This window comes from Homo sapiens, chromosome 6 (genome assembly GCF_000001405.40).
Source record: "Homo sapiens chromosome 6, GRCh38.p14 Primary Assembly".
In the NCBI taxonomy this organism is placed as follows: Eukaryota; Metazoa; Chordata; class Mammalia; order Primates; family Hominidae; genus Homo; species Homo sapiens.
Window position 1 is genome coordinate 22,049,739 of NC_000006.12, and position 24,148 is coordinate 22,073,886.

At 39.6% G+C, this 24,148-nt stretch overlaps 1 long non-coding RNA gene across 1 annotated transcript in view; it reads left to right on the forward strand.

Moving 5' to 3' along the window:
• CASC15 (cancer susceptibility 15) overlaps positions 1 to 24,148 on the forward strand; it is a 529,408-nt gene that overhangs the window by 383,326 nt on the left and 121,934 nt on the right. The window contains exon 8 of the long non-coding RNA NR_015410.2: positions 6,808 to 6,952. This is a non-coding gene — a long non-coding RNA (cancer susceptibility 15). The remainder of the gene's footprint in view (positions 1 to 6,807; positions 6,953 to 24,148) is intronic.

The window sequence follows — 24,148 nt, forward strand, 5'->3', positions numbered from 1 at the left end:
TCTGAGAGTAAAATTGTAACTATCAGTATGATTATAGTTTACTTTTTTGGTGCATTTAGTGGGTTTCATTAAAACTGATCTTGGATTTTCACAGTATGGGAGAGTGGGTTTTTTTTTGTGGGAGATGATGTCTGCATACAGGAGATTGTATTATAAATATGATGTATCCTGGAAATTTTGGAAAGTTGGAAAGAGTGACTTGACAACTCTTACATTGAACAATGTATCTGAATCTATTAATCAAACAGATCACTATCTGACCAGAAACCCCTGTAAGAGGGAAAAAGTCTTCAGTTCTTTTCCTAAATTTTATCCGTCTATACAGATAATATTTCTGTTCCTGTTTGACATGTTATTTTCCTCATAAACAGTTTTAATGGTTCCGTGCGTCTACAGGCTAAAAAGCAGAGGCCCGGTGATCTCATCTCTACTAGTTGACTCCAATCTGTCTTTTCAATAATGGCCTCCACACCCAGTCCTTTGTCAGATGTGTACTCTGAGAGGAGGCATTCTATGAAGGGGAGGGGAGACACTAGATTTAGAAAACTCTGGGTTCAAATTCCGGTGCTTCATTTATTAGCAATGTGAATTTTGTCAAATCACATCATGCCTCTGAAACCTAGGCTCTTAAAGGGTAAAATGTGTATAAATATATTGACTTTTGTTTTCATCTGTGATACCATGTGATATCTTTTAGGGTCAGGAATGTAGTTCTATTTCTTGAACTAATTATGGTGGCTAATTTGAATTTGCAGCGTGTAAACAGGCTATTTGGAATTCAAGCATTTCTCCCTTTCCTTGTCATCTATTTAGATGGTGAATTCTTCTTTTCCTATTATTTATTATCGAAACACTTTGACCACAAGGATACTTTTTTTTTTTTTTTGAGACGGCTCGTTCTGTTGCCCAGGCTGGAGTGCAGTGGTGCGATCTTGGCTCACTGCAAGCTCTACCTCCTGGGTTCAAGTGATTTTCCTGCCTCAGCCTCCCGAGTAGCTGGGTCTACAGGCGCTTGCCACCACGCCTGGCTAATTTTTGTATTTTTAGTAGAGTCAGGGTTTCACCGTGTTGTCAGGATGTTCTCTATCTCCTGACCTTGTGATCTGCCTGCCTTGGCCTCCCAAAGTGCTGGAATTACAGGCGTGAGCCACTGTGTCTGGCCCATAAGGATACTTTTAAATATTTGGGATACAAATAAGCTATTTTAAATTTAACAAATAAAAAGGGCTACACACAAATTTTTGAGATTGGTGTCCATTCTTTAATTTTAATAAGTTGTTCAGGTATGAAGAGGAGAGAGAACATAAAATTGGATTTTTATTGGATTACTTTTATGCTCAATATAATGTTTTTTGGTCTTATCTAATCCTGTAGAAATATCTAGGAGGATGTATAATCCAGTGTTCATAGACATTGCTCACCATCTGTTTCCAAAGTGAAAAATCAGCATTCATATCGTACCTTTATTTCCCTTTGTGTGCTAAGTCCAAACTCAGGCAAAGAGGTCACTATTTGTTCTCTTTACAGCAAACTTGATCCTAACATTGCATATTCCATAATCTGTCATCTTTGTATAGTTTTGTGGTAATGATCTACTCTTACTCGGCCTCTTCACATACTTATTATGATAGATTTTCTTGATTTACCAAATAGAGAACTTATCCATTAGAAATGTTTGATTGGCTTTTTCAGAAACAAGAAGTTGTTTCGCTTTTTTAGTATTTTTTTTTTCCCCTTAGACCCAATCTAATCTAGGTGGGAGAGAAAGTAAAGAGAGTCTCTTGGAAAACTGAAGAGAGTCACAGCAAGCCCACAGAGTTACACAGGAATCAGGAGGAATAAAAATGTAAAGGTAACATGGATGAACCATCTATTAGGTGCTTTCGTACATACTGTCTCATTTTAGGTTTACCAATAGCATTAGGTATAGTGAAGATGATTGACATGGTTTGGCTGTGTCCTCACCCAAATCTTATCTTGAATTGTAGCTCCCATAATTCCCTTGTGTGGTGGGAAGGACCCACTGGGAAATAATTGAATCATGGAGGTGATTTCCCACATATTGTTCTCATGGTAGTGAATAAGTCTCACGAGATCTGATGGTTTTATAAGGGGTTTCCCCTTTCCCTTGGCTCTCATTCTCTCTTTGCCTACTGCCATGTAAGACATCCTTTGCTCTTCCTTCATCTTCTGCCATGATTGTGAGGCCTCCCCAGCCATGTGGAACTGTGAATCCATTAAACTTCTTTCTGTTATAAATTACCCAGTCTTGGGTATGTCTTTATTAGCAGTGTGAGAATGGACTAATTACAATGATTGTGATAATGACTATTGCCATTGGACAGATAAGGAAGCTGGCTCAGAGTGGCAAGTCACCTGGGCCCAAACATCTTGCTAATAAGCAGCATAGCACATTCCTTGATTACTCTGTTATATGTGGCTCTAAAAGGTTTTTTTTTGTGTGTGCATTCATATGGATGTCAGCAAAACCAATTTAAGTGTAGTTAACGGAATTATTATTTCTCATGCCTTCTATGATTTCTTGTCTGATTGGAACATAATACTCCAGGATCAGGTTTGTTATACTTCCTTCTACGACATGTGCCCCAAATGGCAGTGAGTTTATGGCAGAGATTGGCTCAGGAGAAGTATTTTCTCATCTTCTGGAATGTCCTACTAATGAAATAACTTAAAAGACAAGGACATATGAAGGTGATTCTGTAATATTAACTCTAACCATTATTAAATTCTTAATGCATGCCACATATGCTTCTATTTGCTTACCTGCATTGATTTTTCACTCTTCATAATACCGTTGTGAGGAAGGCACCTTTTTGTTTTTTTTTTTTTCATTTAAAGATGAAGAGGTTAAGGCACAAGAAGATTCATAACTTGCCAAGGTCCCAAAGCTGGTGTGGGTTCCAGTCCAGGTCCTCTGACTCCACAGCCACTCTCCAGTGCTGCTTTGGAGCCTGACACATTAGTAACTGGTGGCTCCCTAAGAGCCTTGACTTTGGCTTTAGTTGACTTAGAAAATATTTTTATGTGTGTGTATTTACTTCCAAGCCTCTCATATTTTCTCATTAATTATAAGTAGTCCACAATTTTCAAGACTGTAGTTGTAAAATATAACTCAAGGCATAGCGAGAAAGTAGATTTTAGTCATTTGGAATGGTTAGGACCAGCTCTCTGTGTACCTTTCCAGGAATTTAATGTTTCAGCTGAGCATAGTGACCCTAAATGTTTGGAGAAAGTGAGAGATTTTGTGTCTATATACATAGGTGTCCCTGTGTCATCTTTTTCTTTAGCTTGAAGCACTCAGGATGGAAAAACAAATCTTGGGAAAGATGAAAGAGTAGAACTAAAGGAAATACCACATAAGTTACAAAGGACTAGAGTTTTATGGCTGTAATTTATAATGTCCACTATCCTTGTGAAAATTACATGGGATAGTTTATCTTTTTCTATTTGGGAAGATATATTTTTTATATTTAAAAATATCTTGTCTTTAGAGTTCTTTTAAGTGTAATGATTGGAGGGCTGAGATATACAAACTAGATTATTTTCATTCTGGTCTTTTTCTTCTAGTATTTGGGGTAATTTAAATGCTTCTTCGTTCACTCACATGCTTATTCAACAGATATTTATTGAATGCCTACTATATACCAGACCCTCTGCTAGACCCTGAGGATAAAAGGTAGATAGGATGCTGAATCTGTCCTCCAAGCATTTGGATTCTGGTGGTAGAAACTGTTGTGTACCCAGTTAGCCACGGCAGTTTGAGAAGTGCTACACTAGCAGAATGAGAAGTTCTGTAAGGCCACAGAGGAGGGAGGGAGTAATTCCTCCTGTGGTTATGAACAGAAATTTGAGCTAAGTCTTTTAAAGGATGAATAATAAGGTTGGGTAGGCCAAGTGGGCAGGGAGGGCCCAAGAGACAAGGTGCTCAAATGCCTAGAATATGAAAAGGACAGAGTAACTATCATTATCTCACAGCTAGGAACACTGATCCCTGTAACTAGCTTGGCTTACCTGAGAAGGAAATGCCACCAACTCTGAGGGTTTCCCCCCGCCAGTCTTCATTTATTATTGTGTAAAATTAGAGGATGACAGCAGTGGTGGTGGTGGTGGTGGCGGCTGCTGCTGCTGCTGCTTTGTCTTCTTCCTTTTCCTGATTAGCTTGATAGATTTGGGTTAGATATAGGCATTTTCCACATCAGGCTGTAGTTCTTTATTTTTTCAACTTTTATTTGATTTTTTTTTCTTTTTTCTTTTTTTTTTTTTTTTTTGAGACAGAGTCTTGCTCTGTTGCCCAGGCTGGAGTGCATTGGTGTGATCTCGGCTCACTGCAACCTCTGCCTCCCGGGTTCAAGTGATTCTCCTGCTTCAGCCTCCCAAGTAGCTGGGATTACAGGCATGCACTACCATGCGCGGCTGATTTTTATATTTTTAGTAGAGATGGGGTTTCATCATGTTGGCTAGGCTGGTCTCCAACTCCAGACCTCAGATGATCCACCTGCCTTGGCCTCCTCCCAAAGTGCTGGGATTACAGGCGTGAGCCACTGTGCCTAGCTTCAAAAACTTTTATTTGAAATATGGGGGTACATGTGCAGATTTGTTGCATGGGAATATTGTGTGATGCTGAGGTTTGAAGTACAGATCCCATCACCCAGGTAGTGAGCATAGTAGCCAATAGGTAGTCTAACTTGTCCCATCCGTATCCAGGCTTTAACCATACTGAGAGAGTGGGAAAAAAACTGAGCTGCCTACTATGACCCAGTGGAATGGAAAGTTTTCTACCATTTTGGTTCTATGTCATTTTCATATTACTTTTTTAAGGAAATTCAATTTTTCTGCCATTCTACTAGACTGTATCTCTTTGATCACTACCTATGTGTCCAAATCACTGCTTCTCCCAACTTTTTTTGTGGGCCATCATCCATGAGCATGGTACATCCATGTGGTGACTTCCTCTGTTTGTTTAAATTTGCTCATTTAGAGTTTTATATTAGGACAGTAAAACACTCATGTCTAAATAATTTATAAGTCCTGGGAAACTCGTAAAAATGGCCTGACATGATGTTTTGTGCCTATAAGAAATCTTGCAGATGGCTAAGAGAAGAATGAAGATGTTTTGACTTACTGTCTCTTCAATTACATTATAAAAAATTCAGCGGACTTGTCCATGATCATTAGGAAAATGAATGATTTTCCTATTATAAATTACAAGTGCCACAAACTACATAAGGACTGTAATTGACAGGTATCAACTGGTAGCGTTTATTTACATTCTCCAAGGCAACCCACAGAAATGTAGTGCTCACCATATTTATTCAGAAAAATATGTTTTTAAGTAAATAAAACTTCCTTGACACTTGTTACTATAGTTAGGCAACTTAATTCCAATTGTTAACTTTCTTTAGTAAATGATAGATGAAACATGATTTTGTAAGATAAAAGAACATGGTGCCAAAACATTATATGAGCATGATGCCAAAAATACACACACACACACACACACACACACACACACACACACAACTGAATACATTGTTCATAGTGTTTTCTAATTCAGGGAAACTGGAAGATGATTTGAAAGTATTATGTTCAACTTTGTATTTATTCCAGGAAAATTTACATAAGGAGAAAATACATTAATCTTGGCATGTAATAAGAACCTACATTTTGTTATATAATTCATTTTGTGATTTACATTTCTATAATTTATTCAATAAGCCTAATAAATGTTAGGTAATGAATGAATTTAGTTTCATGAGTAAAAAATAGTACATGAATGATCTGTCATTGTACAAAACTGCTGAATTATGAATATGGTTTTTGTGAGTATTTTCTTCCCTTCCTCCTTGTCCCATCCCTATGTCCTTTCTTCTTAACCCTAACCTCCTACAACCAGAGGATAGCACGTTGAGGGAAGAAATCGTCAGAAGTTTTAATATAATTATATTCAGGATGAGAGTTCTGTTCAACACAACATCATTGGTTAATTTAGTAATTTCTAGAATGCTGCCCAGACTTGAAAATACTTTCAGTACTCATTGCTGAATATTGCTGTTCTCTGCATGTTTTTCTTCTGGGATTGAACTGGACAGGATTTTGGCTTTTTAACACATTCCAGTGGGTATAAGTATATTGGCTAGCAAAGATTCCCTTAATTGACCTGGTTTTAATAAAAAATCATCCAGTCCTCCTGCCACTAATTTTTCTCTTCTTTGAAACCACAGATTAATAACCTGGTGTTATCTCTATCACCGAGGTGAGAAATTCTGCCAAAAGTGGTTTACAAAAACAGCTTTGGGGTTGGATCTGGAGAGTGGCTATGATTTTACCAAAACTAGATCCCTGTTTTTCTTTTAAATTACATATGGACAGTTTCATCAATTAAGTTACCAAATTCATATTTTATATTCTGTTCACATATCAGGAAGCATTTAGCCCAAACAAAGTCTGTTCACATAAAAATTTCTTTTTGGATATTTTCTTCTACTCTGAGGACACATGCCTGCCTTTCCCCAGTATGTTCTCTCCTGCTCCCAGTACCTTGAGTATAGTGAGCATTCCATAAAGAGTCAGTGAATGAATCCCTTTTTCATTGTGTCTCCATTATGTAGAGTGGAAATCTGTGCTGGAACAATAGCTGGTAGATGATCTGCACCAGGGAGGCCTGGGCTAGACTTCAAAAGCTGTTTCCCCATCCCGGCAAGGCAAAACATGTTCTTTATAGGCTGGGAGGTCACAGCTCTATCCCCGTTCAAGACTGCACCTCCTTTTTTCTCTCTTCCTTCCCAGGAGCTGTGGAGTCCAAGTGTGACTGCCAAGAGGAATCCAGCAAAGCCAAAAAGCCCAAGCATGTAGCCCTGCCCGAAGCACGCCACACGCATGGAAAACCCAGAGGAAATGAGTGAGGATCAATGGGAAGAAGAGAGCCAGCCAGGTGAGCAAGCTCATCAGTCTGGAGGCTAGCGCCACTGGAAAGAGTCCCGGGCGGTTCTGTTTATTTGGCAAGTTCGGGCCATGACCTGAGCTTACACTAAATTACCTCAGAGCAAATTATTTTTTACCAAGCCACGTAAATGTTAGGTCGTCTCCCTAGAGCTTTTGGGCTGAAGACAGATGACTACATCAAAGGCTGCTCTTGAGTTTCCAGGTGTGGCTGGGGGAATTGTCTGTCTTCTTTCAGGAAAGGGTTAATTTCTAACTCTTCCCCTTTCCCTTCCTCAGGTGAATTATTTTGTTTCATGCCAATTTAAGTGTTACCTAGAGACCTTTTACGTAGAGCCAATTAATTAATTTATTTATTTTTATTTTTATTTTTTGAGACGGAGCCTCCCTCTGTCGCCCAGGCTGGAATGCGGTGGCGCAATCTCGGCTCACTGCAAGCTCCGCCTCCTGGGTTCATGCCATTCTCCTGCCTCAGCCTCCCGAGTAGCTGGGACTACAGGCGCCCGCCACCACGCCTGGCTAATTTTTTTGTATTTTTAGTAGAGATGGGGTTTCACCGTGGTCTCGATCTCCTGACCTCGTGATCTGCCCGCCTCGGCCCCCCAAAGTGCTGGGATTACAGGCGTGAGCCACCGTGCCGGGCCAAATAGAGCCAATTTAATTGAACATAGAGTCCTCTGGTTTTGGTATGAGTGGGTGTGCCTCTGTGCCTGTCTTCATAAGAGGAGGCCAAGGCTGTGTTTCTTCTTTATAAATACAAATTTCACATTACGGTCTTGTGTGGATATATTCTGAAGCATCCTCCTAGGTAAATTGAATTGGACTATGGTGAATTTTTTTTTTTTTTTTTTTGGCAGGGGGAAGGATTTTAATAATTAAATCACTGGTTGAAGGCTTGTGCAAAGTTTGGTGCTATATTAGGATTTACCAGGGTTCCACTGTGATTCTAAGTTCATTTTAAATTTCTGCCCCCTGCCTTCCTTTCCATTTATGTTAAGTGTTATTACCATGTGGAGAGAAGGTATTTTAATAACAGAATTTTACTTAAAAATGCTTCCAGCCAGGCATGGTGGCTCATGCCTGTAATCCCAGCACTGAGGCAGGAGGATGGCTTGAGCCCAGGAGTTTGAGACCAGGCTGACCACCATGGTAAAACCCTGTCTCTACAAAAAATACAGAAATTAGCCAGGCATGGTGGCATGTACCTGTAGTCTCAGCTACTCAGGAGGCTGAGGTGAGAGAATTGCTTGAGCCCAGGGAGGTTGAGGCTGCAGTGAGCTGTGCTCAAAACAAAACAAAACAAAACAAAACAGCTCCCGTTCTACCACTCCTAAAATCCATATCATATATCAAAAAAGGAAGTTTGATACCTGAAATGACTCTTGGCAGGGCTTCTCAACCTCTGTTCCCTGGTATTTGGGGCTGTATCATTCAGTGTTGTGGGGAGCTGTCCAGTGCATTGCAGAATATATAGTAGCACCCCTGGCCTCTACCCAGTAGATTCCAGTAGCATGATTCCTCTCCCCAGCTGTGGCAACCAGAAATGTTCTGTGGGGGACCAATTTGCCCCCAGTTGAAAACCATTGTTTTGGGGATTGATTCAACAAAGGAAAAGAAGGTAAAGAAAATGGTAAAGATGTCACGTATGGAGCTTTGTTTTTGTTGTTTGTTAATTTTGTCATATTACCCTGTGAATTTCCAAAGAAAGTAAATCGTAAGACAATGAGGTCTGCCACTAGAACTCCCATTTAGCCACCAGTTCTCTCTCCATTGTTGACTGGAATTTAGTTTGGATTAATACAACAATTGCAACTCACAACAAGTATTGACTTTGATGCTGTCATTATCAACTGAGGAACTCCAGGTTTTATATTAAACACGCAGAACTTTCTATGAAGTGGCCATTTTGATCACTGGGTGTTTTCACAGGGCTGGCTTATTGGGGGAAAAAGAGGGAGTGGTTGGAGAAAAAGACTCAAATAAGGCTAATGCAAGACTTTAATAACTGAATGTATGAGTTGAATGAAGAAACACGCCTACTCTACACTGTAATTCAGCAGTTTTATGAATGGGAGGTCAGATACATGATTTAAATACAGGTTTCATTGAATGCAGTATCTTTTACGGTACTAAAAAAGGTCTGGAATCCTGCATTCTTCCTGTATAGGATTGTAATTCATTCTCTCTGCTCTCACTCTCCTTCCAAATTTACTTCTACCTCTGTCATAGAATGTTTGAGCTGCCAGACAAGTAGGATCATGTCACTGCTGTGACTTAACATTAAATGTCCTGGTGTCTTTATTTCAGATGTTCTGTTTTTCCTCTATTTTCTGCTCACATGAACATACACACTTGCCAGGCACATTCTGGCTTTTCTTATTTCTCTTTCTGATTTTGCCTCCTTCCTGCCCCTGTTTTCTTCCCTTTTCTCTGGCTATAGAAACTGTCAGGTGGCCTTGCTGGCATCATCCTACCTCTTTTGAACTGTGTTACCCAGGAACTTCCATTTATTATGCCTCGAGCACTCTCTTTCTTTAATACTGTATCTCTCTGAGGGATAGTTAATGATCTTTGCAGCAAATGAAGGTGAACTGTAGCCACATTATTGTTAGAATACAGCCAACTATATGGAACAGATTGGGCTGAGCTTTGAACAGCTGGGGCTGGCAGAGTGAGTCTTGACTTCTCTCGGAAGAGTTCCAGAACTGCCAAATCATCAAACTTGAAGGGGAAAGAGGGACGAGAAAGGTTATGGGGATAGTGGTTCCTGCAGGTGCTTTTTGCTCTTGTGATCTACCTTTTTTGAAATGTTTACTAGTTTGTGGATCTGGCAAAGCATGGGCTAATTGAACCCAAGAGCTGCTGTCATTGCCACAGACTAGACCTGCTTAGTGGCCGTGGTGGTGTTTTATTGTTCATTTGCAGGTACTGAACATGGGATAAGATGGATGCTTTTGTTGTGAAAGCTTGTGGCTCTCTTCAGGCAACTAACTGAAACTATGTGTAGGTTTGAGGAGAATTTTGATCTGCAATGTGCATCGAACCCTAATATAAATTTAATAATGGCTCCATTGGAACTTTTGGACTATAATGTGGCTTCCTGGTGGATATAATAAATGAAAAATAGGCGAGGTAGGACAGATATCATAAACTGGGGGACCAGAGAGCTTAATCACTCCTTCAAAAATGTTGTGTTTGCCCTTATGAGGAGTTGTGTGTGTGTATGCACATGCATGGGTGCATGTGTGTTTAAATGACTTGCTGCCAATATTTTAAAAATGTTTATATAAACATTTGGTCAATTTTTCCAAAGAAGCCAGAATCTGACTTCACTGGTCTCCCACGGTCAATATCAGCTGTGGCTGAATAACAAGTACTCCATACCTCTCCTGGGTGGGCAGGGCAGGGACTTTCCAATTAACTAGAGTTTTCACCCTCTACTCCCACTGTTACTGCAGAGATTGGCCTTTGCAAGAAAAGTTCAGGAAAGAAAAGAGACAAGCCTTGGGATTGGGAAATAATGGGTTTGAATCTCAGCTTCATAGGCAGCTTTCTCAATTGGGGAAATTATTAAACTTTCTGAGCCTTAGTTTCCTCCTGAGTAGAGTGGGAATATACTCTGCACCTCTAATGGTTGCTGGAAGGAATATTAAGTAAAACAGCGTATTTAAAGTTTCTAAAACAACTATGTACATACACAGGAGGATTGCTGTACACATTTGCTGTTATTGTAGTTTTCAGTTGCTGTGTATCATAGGTGAGTTGATACCAACCCTTTAGTGTCCCATTGACCATGTTACAAAATTTAATAAACACTTGTGTTACTCAGAACAAAGGAGGAAACTTGTGCCTTGTCTTCCCATATTTTGGGCTTTGTTCTACAATATAAAATATATAGTTTTTCTACGGAAAAAAATCCAATAGAAACTGATTTCTTAAAGGTAGCACAATTTGAAGAGAGAAAAATCTTATAGTTTAGTTCATATTAGGTGGACTCTTCGTTTCCTTTTGACCGGGTCAAGGCTTTGTATTTTTGCATCTATACTTCTGAAGTTTCTGCCCCGCACCCCATCCCAATCACATTCAAAATCAGGCTGACAGTAATCCTGTACGTGGAACATGTGCTGAATCCTCATGGAAGGAAAGGTAAAGAAATGAAAGCCCTGTAGAAATTAATATATTTCCTTAGAGGTGGGCATGGAATGTAGCTTTTGTTAGGCTTACAATGCTGCGTTGAAGGTTTGTCAGCATTTTGTGCACACAGATTCTTTAAAACTTTTAAGGATTTTTTCCCTACATTATTGCATTCAGTTGGCATCATTTCTTTCTCTAATGTGTGACCTTTGACATCTATCAGAAAGTTTCAGTACATCTTTGGATGCCACACCAGCTGGGGGCAGGGACTACCCCGTTATTATAGTCATGGTTCAGAAATACAGGTTCTTCCCCCTATTTTTATACTTCCTGCATAGATGGGTTTCCTTTAGATGTGGATATTTCTCTTAAATGCATACTCTTGTCTCAAAATGGTGAAGGATACCAGTGTAGTAGTTTCTTCTTCTACTTCTGACAGTTACTGGGAAACTTGTGTCTTTCAATAAAATGCTTTCTAGAAGAAGGCAAGGTGGCTAGAAAATGTTAAGGCAGCTCAGGGACCAGTGGGAGAAAATAGATGTTAAAGGTAAAAAGTGACTTGTGATTAGTTCAGTTACGGAGTCCAAAAATCCAACCAGGTTTGTAGGTAACCAGTTACGTTTCAAATGTGATCTTAAGCCCACCCCGAGTGAGTGAACCTCAACATGAGAGTAGAAGACTCTGGAAGGGAAGATGTGAGAAGATAAAATACTGTTTTCAGAGCCCTAGGTTTTTGTTTGTTTGTTTGTTTGTTTGTTTGACATTTTTATGAGTGGAGGAATAGGACTACCTCTGGAACCTAAAATTGGGCTGAAATCCAGGTCCAGTTCTAGGTGATTGCTCAGGGTCCCTTCCCATTCCTTCCTCCATCTGCTCCTGCCCACTTGAGTGAAGGAGGTGAATAATAAAAGAGGAAAGAATGTGGATGAAAAGGAGAAGATGCAGAGAATGAAGATTCTCTGTCCTTTGTAAACCTTTTGTCCTAATCACCAAAAGTATTGTGGCATGTGTAAGTCTGAGAAAATATTTAGGTGAATCCCTTGAAATTGTCAGTATTTCAAGGGTTAAAAAAAGACAGTTTCACATAGTTCAAATGAAAGCAACAATTAGGTTTTTGCTAGAACTTCTCTGGGTCCACCAATGGGATGTATGGAGTGGTTTTAAAAAACCACACAAGGCTGGGCGCGGTGGCTCACGCCTGTAATCCCAGCACTTTAGGAGGCTGAGGCAGGCAGATCACCTGAGGTCAGGAGTTTGAGACCAGCCTGGCCAATGTGGGGAAACCCTGTCCCTACTAAAAATACAAAAATTAGCTGGGTGTGGTGGCACACACCTGTGATCCCAGCTACTCGGGAGGTTAAGGCGGGAGAATCGCTTGAACCCAGGAGGTGGACTTTGCAGTGAGCTGAGATGGTGCCACTGCCCTCCAGCCTGGGCAACAGAGTGAGGCTCTGTCTCAAAAATGAATAAATAAATAAAAATTTTAAAAACCACACAAGTTTTGGCATCCAACTGGATTTTTTTCCTTTTGCATATGCTTTTCTAACATATGCAGATATTTTCTTTGATTTTTCTTATAATCAGGCTTTCTTACTTTTTCTAAAATTGTAGTTATTGCCTCGAATCTCATAGCAGAGGAGTAGAGGCAACAAAAAGGAGAGCCAAGTGTGGGAGCAATTGAAGACCGTGGAGTTTTTTCAGATCATTCGCCTGGGAACTTGCATGGCAGTTGTGGGGTTCCAAAGATCCAAAATCAGGTGTTGTAACTTAGCTGACTTGAATATTTACTTTGAAAATAAGAAATGAATGTTAAAAAGTTGAAAAGTTATACACATGGGCACAATTTATTGAAACCTTTTCTTAGGGTAGATTGAACCTTGTTGAAAGTTGTGAAATTTGCTCAAATAGTCATTTTTTCTCTTTTTTTCTAGGTCTGAATGATTTCATGAATATTGTGGTAGTTTGGGCAAAGAACAAATTTGCTTAGTCAAGAAACATTAAAAGCCTCTACGAAGGCCTAGAGGTGGTGAAATCAGTGGTCCTCTGGTGGGCATGGTGTGTGTGTGTGTGCGCGCACACGCGTGTGACTCATCTGGGGTTGGCTCAGAGTGAAAGAGACAGATGCTTCCTTCGCCTGCTTGTTTCCTGGTTTTCAAAGCCCCTATTTCATTGTTGTTTTATTTTAAGGTTCGATGCCTTCTCCATCCGTCAGTGAGGGTGTGGAGAGCCTGCAGGCGTGTGCCTCCCTCTGTAACTTGCTATTCCTTGTGTAATGTCAAGTGGAAGTGTGAAGCACCACAAACTGCTCTGAGCAGAGCCCACTTCCCTTCACCCACGGAGAGCGTGAAGCAGTTACACCAACATCAATCAAGGAAAACCCACAGGCTGAGCTCACACGGTTGAAGCAGGTGCGTGAGCGAGCGTTCTGTGACAGGCACACGTGATTGAGGTGTACCTCGGCGTCTTGCCCACAGATGTCGGTTGCGATGACTGTGTGGGGCTGTGCCCATTCCCTGCAGAGCCGAGCCTGTCATGCTTGTGGGACACAGTGGGTGCAGCTCTTGGCAGCTCAGTGGGGTGAGCAGGTCAGGTAGTTCTGAAGTAGGCTTCTTTGCTGTTTACTCACTTGTTTAATGGTGAGGAGAAGAATCCAGGAGAAATAGTGTTTTATTTTCTTTCAGTGGTGTTTTGCAGTGAGAACACCCCTGGGATTACTCCTTTAAAACAGTAAACAAGAGGCCGGGTGTGGTGGCTCAGGTCTATAATACCAGCTCTTTGAGAGGCCGAAGCAGGAAGATTGTTTGAGCCCAGGAGTTCAAGATCAGCCTGGGCAACATCTCTAAAAGACACCATCTCTAAAAGAATTTTTTATTTTTTAATTTGCCTTGTGTGGTGGTGTCCCCTTGTTCTCCCAGCTACTTGGAGGCAGAGGTGGAAGGATCCCTTAAGCCTGGGAGGTCGAAACTGCAGTGAGCCATGGTTGCGCCACTGCACTCCAGCCTGGGCAACAGAGCGAGACCCTGTCTCAGAAATAAATAAATAAATGAAATAAAATAGTAAACAAGAAAACATTAGTATTAATTGATTTGCTAAGCCTAAGGGGGAAAATGTAAGGTCTTGAATCTCTGTATGTATGCATATGTGTGTATACATATCTATCAATATCTATCAAATGTGTATGTATGGAGTGGTTTTAAAAAACCACACAAGGCTGGGCGTGGTGGCTCACGCCTGTAATCCCAGCACTTTAGGAGGCTGAGGCAGGCGGATCACCTGAGGTCAGGAGTTTGAGACCAGCCTGGCCAATGTGGGGAAACTCTGTCCCTACTAAAAATACAAAAATTAGCTGGGTGTGGTGGCACACGCCTGTAATCCCAGCTACTCGGGAGGCTAAGGCAGGAGAATCGCTTGAACCCAGGAGGTGGAGTTTGCATATGTAGAGTAGACGTTTGTGTACACACATATATGTATATGTAAATATGTGTGTGCATGCATCAACACAGGCACCAATTTAAAGCAAAACTCAAGTGGGCCATGAGATAAAGAGAGAATGTCAATATCTAGACATTTAAAAATATCTGCTGACAAGGTGAAGGGGCTAGTAAAAAAATGCATATCTCATCCTAAGTCGAACCATCTTGATATGTATTGAGCTTTAGAAAATTTTCACAAAAGTTTTGAGCAATCTTAATTTTAAAAATACAGAGGCAGTTAATACTAAGACTTCAATATATATTGTGCTTTGTAAAAAGTGGCCAGTCTCTCAAGGCTGCTAATACCTGCTATTGGTTATGAGTATCTACTTTGAGCTGACACTTCAAAATGTTATACATATTATTTGCATTTACATATGTGAAACAATCACCCTTTCTTTAAGCAATGTAAAGTAAAACAAGACATATTTTTAAACTACTAAACTGACTCAGTTGGAGAATAATGATAAAAACCAGTATTACTATGGGTAAGGAAAAAAACCTGCCATTTTGGGGGAAATTTTTTGTATACTCTCTAAAGGTGATTTCACGATATGTAAAATCAAAAGCCACAAAATATTCTTACAGTTTCAGCAGTTCAGCTTCTAGGCAAATTTTTTCTCAGACTGTGATCAAATGTGTAAAAAATTTAGCTATAAGAATGCTTGATCGCAAACTTATTTATTTTTGATACATTTTGCTAGAAATGTCTAAATAATATTACAGTGGTCAAATAAATTATAGTAGAAATATGCAATAAAATACCAAGTGAGGCATTAAGCAGTGGTGTAGATTTCTCTAAGACCCTGTTTTTTTAAAAAACTAACAAATCAGTGTTTCATGCATTCAGTATGTGCAGATATATTATAAGCAGTTTGTGAGATTTATATAAATCTAAAAGTTGTTACAGCTGTGTGATTAGAGAATAATTAAATGGCTTTATTTTGCCTGTTGTTATAATTTTCTAATATTCAAGTGTATTACCTGCACATTAAATACAGAAAATGGCAAACATGGAAATAGCATATTGGGAGTATACTTGTAAGTTACCTAGAGATATTTGTGAAGACGAGGAAGGGAAAGAGGTTTCTTTCTTTTCTTTTCTTCTTTTTTTTCCTAGATGATGTCTTAGCAGAAAGTGTTAAAGACTAGTGATTGATTAATTAGTTCAACAAATATTTGTGTGCCTCTATGTGCCAGGTACTGGACAAGACTCTGGTCACATTGCTATGTACTTTTCACAGGAAAAATTGCTGAATCTGTTCTGTTTGATATTCTGCATCAATGTAGCTTTACCAGTAGAGAGTCAATAATATGAATATGAAAGTAATATGGGCATGTAAAATTATGATGTCACGGCCCAGCATGGTGGCTCATGCCTGTAATCTCAGCACTGTGGGAGGCCGAGGCAGGTGGATCACCTGAGGTTAGGAGTTCGAGACCAGCCTGACCAACATGGTGAAACGCTGTCTCTACTAAAAATATAAAAATTAGGTGGGTATGGTGGTGGGCGCCTGTAATCCTAGCTACTTGGGAGGCGGAGGCAGGAGAACTGCTTGAACCCGGGAGGCAGAGGTTTCAGTGAGCCAATATTGTGCCGTTGCACTCTAGCCTGGGTAACAAGAGTGAAACTCCATCTCAAAAAAAAAAAAAATTATGATGTCAGACTGACGTTTTGCTTCGTATTTTTACATATGCGTTTTATCTGCTTTATGCTGTTTCACATATTAAATGTGTGAAACTTTTTCTGTACTGTAGATAGTTGACACCATGAATTGTCTGGAAAGTCAAAAGCAAAAATTGAGAAGACTTGTTATAATTAATGAAAACTTTAAAGGACATTAAAAAGCTTATTTGCAAGTGCTTTGAAAAATCTGACTTTTCCATATTTTGTGAGGTTTTGGCTTTGATACTCAATCTTGGTTTAATGTTCTGCAGGTGTCCTTTGGGGAGTTAGAACAGGGTTTGCAGGGATGGGGAGATTGAGTGTGATGACTCTAGTGTCCACTCACTTGGAATGTTGAGACTCTGAGGCCTTAAATAGGAGGTTTAGATTTGGGATGTCTGACTGAAAGAGGGTTAGGATTCAGGCTGATGTGGAGATGCTCATTGAGGAGTTCAAATTCTTCTCTGAGCCCTTAAGAATCTACCCAAAGGACAGTCTTCTGATGTTCAGTCTCTTTCTCATGAAAATGATCTTAGAAGTTTAATCCTTCAAATGACCTCTTAACATGACTTCTCATACTGGTGTGAGATTAGAAAAAAAAAATTCCAGCCTGAACCATCAAGGGCTCCAAAATGAAGATTTTTTTTGAGTTTTAAAACTCTGAAAAAGTTTTTCATAAGTTATAAAAACAGAAAGGTTCTTGAGAGGAAGGGTTTGTTTTGGGTCAGTGCCAATGTGCCACAGTTGCTTTCCTTGTGTGTGTTTGTGTGTTTGTCTTTGTCTTCTGTCTGCCTGTCTGCGGGGATGATTATGGATTCTTGAACTTGGTTCTTTCTTTCCTATTGATTGGTGAAGGGAAGAAGTTAAACTTTGGATTTGGCTCTATTTCCATTGTCCATTGAATCGGGAGAGTTAGCCCATTGGTTATTCTATTGCTCTTTTGCTATGATTTTGTGGGAAAATTGTCATTTTCACTTCCCCCTTCTTCTCTCCATCCTTTCCTCTCGTTAAAACAGACATGATGCCTTTAACGAATTGCCTTGGGATAGTTTGAAGTATAAAGGGAGGAAAAAGAGATTTAGCTCTTCCTGAGACAAGCCCTGAGTAGTAAAATCAATAATTCAAGAAATCACTTGCCCTTTAAAAAACAAACAAAAAAAGACTTGTAAATAGAACAAGATTGAGAAAAACATGTCTTTAGGCAGGCTAATCTAATCACACACAGAAGGCAGCCTGTTTTCTTACTTGCTGGATCGCTTCCACTTTATATTCTCACAGGGAACAATATATTAAGTACAGTATTTAGAAATATTTGTTGAATCCTACTGTCTGATTTTGGCAAGTCCCAAGGAAAAAAAGAATATGTCTTGGACTGCTTGAGCCTTCCTGGGAGGATATTGGAGTTTTCCCAGAGAGGCTGGCTTCACACTGTGGGAAACACTGGTTTGGTAGATAACACTGTTAGAATTTATATTTCAGAGGGCATTTAGTTGTCTTCAGAGTTTTAGAGCAGCCACAGCTGATCTTCTATGTCTCAGGATCTGAAGAAACTCAAAGTATAAGCTAGGCTTTCTTTATACTGATGTAGTCATTCTCTTTTGAGGGGCACCCTAACTTGTAACTCACTGATCCTGTGTTATGGCAGCAGGCTGAGTTCACCAGCACCAAAATATCCAGTTAGTGTATCAGAAGAGAAAATGTGGGTGTCACAAATAAGAGTAGCTAAAAGATAGGACATTATAGGGTGAAAGGTCCATTGGCTGATGCCGCCTTCTCTCAGGGAATGTTAAAGTGTCAACATTTTGGCAAAATCCTAAGCTAATTTTGTTTAAATGTGATCATCACATAGCATTGACTGAGTAATTGAAATTTGTGATGGGAAATAAGGATGAAATATTTAGAAAGTATGTTATGGCCCCTTTGCTTAAGAGTATATGCTAAAATAAAAGTATCTCATTACGAGGAATGTAAGTGAAATAAATTCTTTCAGTTTAATTTTCTCAGCATGTATCTGGCATTAAGTAGTTTTTATAAATCTTATGCAAGGGCCTATCCCACAGCTCTATTCCATTGGTGGCTTAAATGTGAAGTAGGCATATCTGAAGGGTTCTTTTGCTCTGTATTATAATGTTGAGAAGTTAGTTATTGAACCTATAGCTTTTCATCTCTAGAATGGAGATAAGAGAATCATCCTCAGAGTTTAAAAAAAAAACTTTTAATTTTTAAGTAGTTTTAGATTTACAGAAATGTAGCAAAAAAAGGAAGAGTGTAGTCTTACATCCCTTGCCTGGTTCCTTTTCTTGTTACCTTATTATGTATGCTTGTCAAAAAAAATTCAACATTGGGACTTGCCTATTAAATGACTCCACAGTTTGGGTTTTTTTTTTTTTATCTTTATATTTCACTGGTTCTTCCCTAATATCCTTTTCTGTTCCAGGGTCATACTGGATACGACATTGCATTTAGTAGTCATGTCTCTTTAGATTCCTCTGAACTATGAGGGTTTTTCAGCCTTTCCTTGTTTTAATGAGCTTAACAGTTTTGAGGCGTGCTGGTCAGATATTTTGTAGAATGTCCTTCAACTGAAATTCATCTCATGATTGGACTTGGTTATGGGTTTTTTCAGAGGAAGACCACAGAGGTGAAGCACCATTCTCCACCATCATATCAAGAGTACCTATGATCACCATGACGTATCACTATAGATGTTGATCTTGATAACCTGGCTGAGGTCATGGTGCCAAGTCTCTTCACTGCAAATTTGCCTTCCCCCGACTTTTTCCCATACTGCACTCTTTGGAATGAAATTACTAAGCACATGTCATAGGGTTATTTTAAGGTTTAAGTGAGATGATGAAGCTTGTGGTATAAAACCCAGTGCTTTAGAAAACACTCATGAATGTCAGTTGCTACTGTAGTTGCTGCCTTTACACTAGTCCCTTTCAATACATGAAAGCTAGTATTCTTTAGAGCTGCTTTCTCATAATTATACAGTTCTCAGCCATTTGCTGATATTGATCAGAAAGTAAAAATAACAAAAAAGAGTGCTCACACACCTTTCAAACGAGATGCCTGTATACAAAGTCACTCTAGGATGGAAGGATACGAATTCTCTCAAAGTTTACCATGGAGAGACTCTACTAAACTGGGATTATCAGCCTCTGGTCCTGTTTCATGTGATGGAGTCAGTCATTGATGACAGAGCTGGTGGGTTCTGGTTGGTCTTGGGCATGAGAGGGAGAAAGAAAGTTTAATTTAGGAGCTGAGCCTGAAAAATTGGTGAGGTTTTTTTTTTTCTTCCTCTGGTGATAGCTTTTGGGTAGAATTTTGAGTTCTTACTGGAATAAACGATCTTCAGCACTTCTCTGTGAAATGAAGGGCTTGTTCTGGGACCTGAAATGCTTCAAACCCTGTGCAGTTGTTGCCAGAGTGGCTGTCTGAGCCTGGATAATAGAGCCTGGAGTCCTATGTAACCATGTCTGTTGGAATAAATAAGAACAGCTGGTCGCTTGTACAGATACTGTTGGCATGAATTTTTTATTTAAGTCTCTCCATGTATCTAGTAAACAGTAAGCAGTATTCTAACATTACTAAAAGCCTCCTAAGTCTCCCACCAATAAATTTCCTTCACTCTTCCCCATTAAAAGTTCAGGGAGTAGGGCAAGGTTAATGTACCAGAGAAGGAATGGTAGGGAAGTATTTCTGAGCTGGAGAAAATAAGGTTCTTCTTCTGTGTCTCTTTTCCCATTTGACCTTCTAGTTTCTCTCTCAGATAACACATTTTTTTTTTTGGACTATTTCTTGGGAAAGCAAGATTTATACGATATTCTTTTGCTGTTTCTTATGTATAAGAGAGACTTATTCGTGTTAAAATGGAATACTCTGTCCCTGAGCGCTTAATGGGAAAAAAAATTTGCATTTGTGTTAAGGGGTAGGTGAGTGGTAAAATATTCTTTTGGTTTCTTTTAAATGTCTAGCAAGGAAACTCTTCCATGTATCTTTATGAATTTTTGTCTCAGAAAGCTTACTAGAGACTAAACACTCCTTCACTGTCCTATAGAGAACCAGAGATGTACTTAAAGAACATAGATGATGTCACGCATTCATTTTTTCTGTTTTTTTTTTTTCTTTCTTTTTGTTTTTGTTTTGAGACAGAGTCTTGCTCTGTCACCCAGGCTGGAGTGCAGTGGCACGATCTCAGCTCACCGCAACCTCTGCCTCCTGGGTTCAAGCGATTCTCCTGCCTCTGCCTCCCAAGTAGCTGGGACTACAGGTGTGTGACACCATGCCCAGCTAATTTTTGTATTTTTAGTAGAGACAAGGTTTTGCCAGGCTGGTCTCAAACTCCTGGCCTCAAGTGATCCGCCGGCCTTGGCCTCCCAGAGTGCTGGGATTATAGGCCTGAGCCACCACACCCAGCCTGTTGTTATCGTTGTTTTTAAAAGCAGAAAGAAATTTCCAGCTTAACCTGCCATATTAACCCTGGGGTGCTAAGAAGTGAGACCTATCAGAGACAATTGGCCCCATTGCTCTGTTATTTCTTTCGTCAAGGAGACATTGAGTTCCCTGCACTGGGTGCTAGGAATGTAAGTAAGAAGAAGATGGGATCTGTGTACCTTAGGAATCAAATGATAGTCTTTATGTGCTCTGGTACAGGTCTGTGTGTGTGTGTGTGTGTGTGTGTGTGTTTCTTTCAAGCCTTTGTGAGACTCCTATGGCAATTAGGAAGGCTCACAGATATTCTGATGGCCTTCCTTGGGCACACTCAGCACAGTTGTACTTTCTTGCCTCCTTTAAGTCTAGGCATGACTATGAAAGTGGCTTGCCATGAAATGTGGCAGAAGTCACATGTGTCACTTCCCAGATGAAGCTTTAAGAGTTGCCATGTGATTTGCTTCATCCCCTTCCCCTTACATTGGTTGAAGCACAGGCCACGAGAGAGCCTACACAGTCTGGTCATGTGATGAGGGGCTATGATGGAAAGACCTCCCGACCGAGGTTGAACATGTCATGTAAGCAAGAATTAAGCTTCAGTTACTACAAGTCATGGGGATTTAGGTAGAGGTGGTGTGTTCCTGCAGCATTATCCAGCCTGTCCTAAGTAATGCAGTCAGCATTCTTATCTCTTTAGAGTTATAGGAATTAAGGCCTCAATGTTGGGCTGTGGAGGGGATGTTCACAGTTGTGATGGTGGCAGCAGTGGTGGAAAATCTGTACATGTGGTAGTTATTGATGCACAAAAATTGGGCATCAGTTTTTAGAGGTGTGACCTACATTTCAGTATCGTTGTTAAATATCTGTAGGGAGATTACATCCCTTCTGACACTGTATGTCTAATTGTCAGTGAATATCTTTATATAATGAAACATAATTCTAAAGAAGGAAAAAACTCAAAGTATGTACACACACGCACATGCACACACACACACACACACACACGCACACACACACCCTCTAGTTTATTCTCCCAAGAATTATATGAGAGATTTTAATGTTGTTCTACTGGTTGAGTGCCAGGAAGAATTTCTTGGGTGGATATAATGCTTAATTTATATTTGGGGAATTTCCACTGCTAAATCAGTGCTTGTAAAGTTTAAAAAGAAAAGAGGGGGAGGGTTGGAGAAGGGGACCAAAAAAAAAAAAAGCCCAGGGATGTGGTTGACAATATTCCTTTTAATTTAAAGCCACCTGAAGGCTTCAGCTGAATAATAAAGTAATTCCCATATGGTTTCCGTTCTTTCAGTGTTAGAACCTCTGAAATGCAGTCTACTTTTAGCCTTGGCTTCTGCATGCCTCTTTGTCAGGCTGAAATGCTTCCCGTCTGCTTGCTCTGGTAGGAAATGGAACCAAAGCCGACTGCTCTGGGGGACGAGTTCCCAGGCTTTGCTTTCTATTTGGCAAACGTGGCTCATGTGATGGGAGGCACTTCTCCTCCAGGGCACTCTTGACTCTCTGACAGACAGGACCAGCTCTGAAGGTGGCTGCAAGTTTTCATTAATGCCAGAGCTCGCTATAGGCACTTTTCTCCCTCCCTTACAATTCTGTTTACAATAAACTTTCCCTCAAAGGAAAAACCCAGGATTCATATGAGTTTCGTTGTTTTCCCTGGAAAGAAGTTTTTGTAACCCTCAGACTCTTTAGAAGGGAAAACATCCAGTAAATCCTGAAATCTGACTGCAGAGTTATTTTTCATTATTTGTACTTTCATTAATTCAAATTCCACCAAAAAACTTTTCTCTTTTTCCTGCCCTGTGTAAGTTTACTTTCCCCCCTGTGTTCATATGAGTTCATGAAATACTTAGGAAGTATATGAAAAATGTTTCAGAAACACAGTTGTGTTATATGATGCTTACCCAAATCCTGCTGAAGTAAGTGAAAAGACATTCCCTCTCCCTACCCCTTCTTTTTCTCCCCTTCTCTCTCCTAACTTTCTGTGTTCAGAGTCAATGCAAAGGGCCTTCATTTTTAATGTTAATTTTAAAAATAACTAGTTTTCTTTTGAGGTAAACTTAGGGAAAGCATATGTGTTTGGAGATATATATCTCCATATATAAATATTTACATTTACATTTACATTTGGAGCTCAAGTTTTTCATTTTATTTTTCAAACATGTTGAATTAAACTAGCTAAGGACTGGAAACCCACCATGACTATTTGCTGTGGGTTGTATGATCACTATTCTGGCTTGAATTTTTGAACTTCTACAGCAACATCTTTAAAGTGCCATGAGATAACTTTGCTGTTGCTCAAAAAGAAGCTCTTTAGGAAGTCGGAAAACAGGAATTCTGGTGCTACTTTATGGTGATAATGTCACTAACTTTGTACCTTTTTGTCCATTTAAAAAATGAGATCAATGGTGCTGGCCTTTCCACTTTTCATGTAGTTGCAAAATCATTTCTTCATGCAAGGACAATCAAAATATATGAATAACGTGGCCTGAATATTTGGAAGAAAAGTCCTGCAAAAGTGTAGGCTGATGGAAGCAGAGGAAGAACATTTTATATTGAAGAACAAAGGAATTTCAAAAGAAATGGTGTTACCAGCTCTTTCAGTTGACCAGACAAGTACCAAGTGTTTGGGACTTGTTCCCATCCCAACAAAGCCAGCATTTTGAGGAGGCCTCTCTGGCAGGGTCATTACATCAGCCAGTTTCCTCTCCATTTGAAATGAGAAAGTACATGTTAAGCACAGAGGCACTCTAAAGATGAACTCATGCCAAAATATGCCTTCATAAGCCTCCAAAGTCACTTGTGGGGTACAATGTCAGAATGAACATGATCTTATCTGGCCTATAAATTAAATGACACATTTTCTGTTTCTTGCACAATGTGTCCCTAAGTGGTGCTTCATGTGAGTTTCTAGAAATGCCTTCTGTAAACTAGACTAATATGCACATGTGCTTTTTCTTGATCTTTAATTGTTCATTACTAATATACGGACTTTGCATCAAATGTAAAGCAATCTCAACAACAGTCTCAATCAAGAGGAATGTCTCTGTGTCTTATAATTTTCCTCAACAGAAATTTTTAATGATACTACTTTTTAAAAAGCTCTCCTTCTGGTTTTCTTGGGTAATTTTACGTGGTATATTTAAAAATCTACTTCATGAGCTGAAGATACAGGCACTGTATTCTTTTCTTTAGCTCTCTGCACCATTCTACTTTCCAACATATATAAACTGTATATTTACTTCCTATTTCTAAGGTTGTTAGCAATGCTGTTCTGTAACCATTATGAAATCTCTCATGGTTCCTGTTCAGCTTGATACTAAAAATTGAAAGCCAGTAAGCAGTGTTTATGCTATATATGCAAATACTTTTCAACAAAGGGCCAGTTGGGATGCTCTGATTACATACTTTTCCAATTTCTTGACCCCTGTATCTCTCTATGAAAGGGGTCAAATGCAAGAGGCCA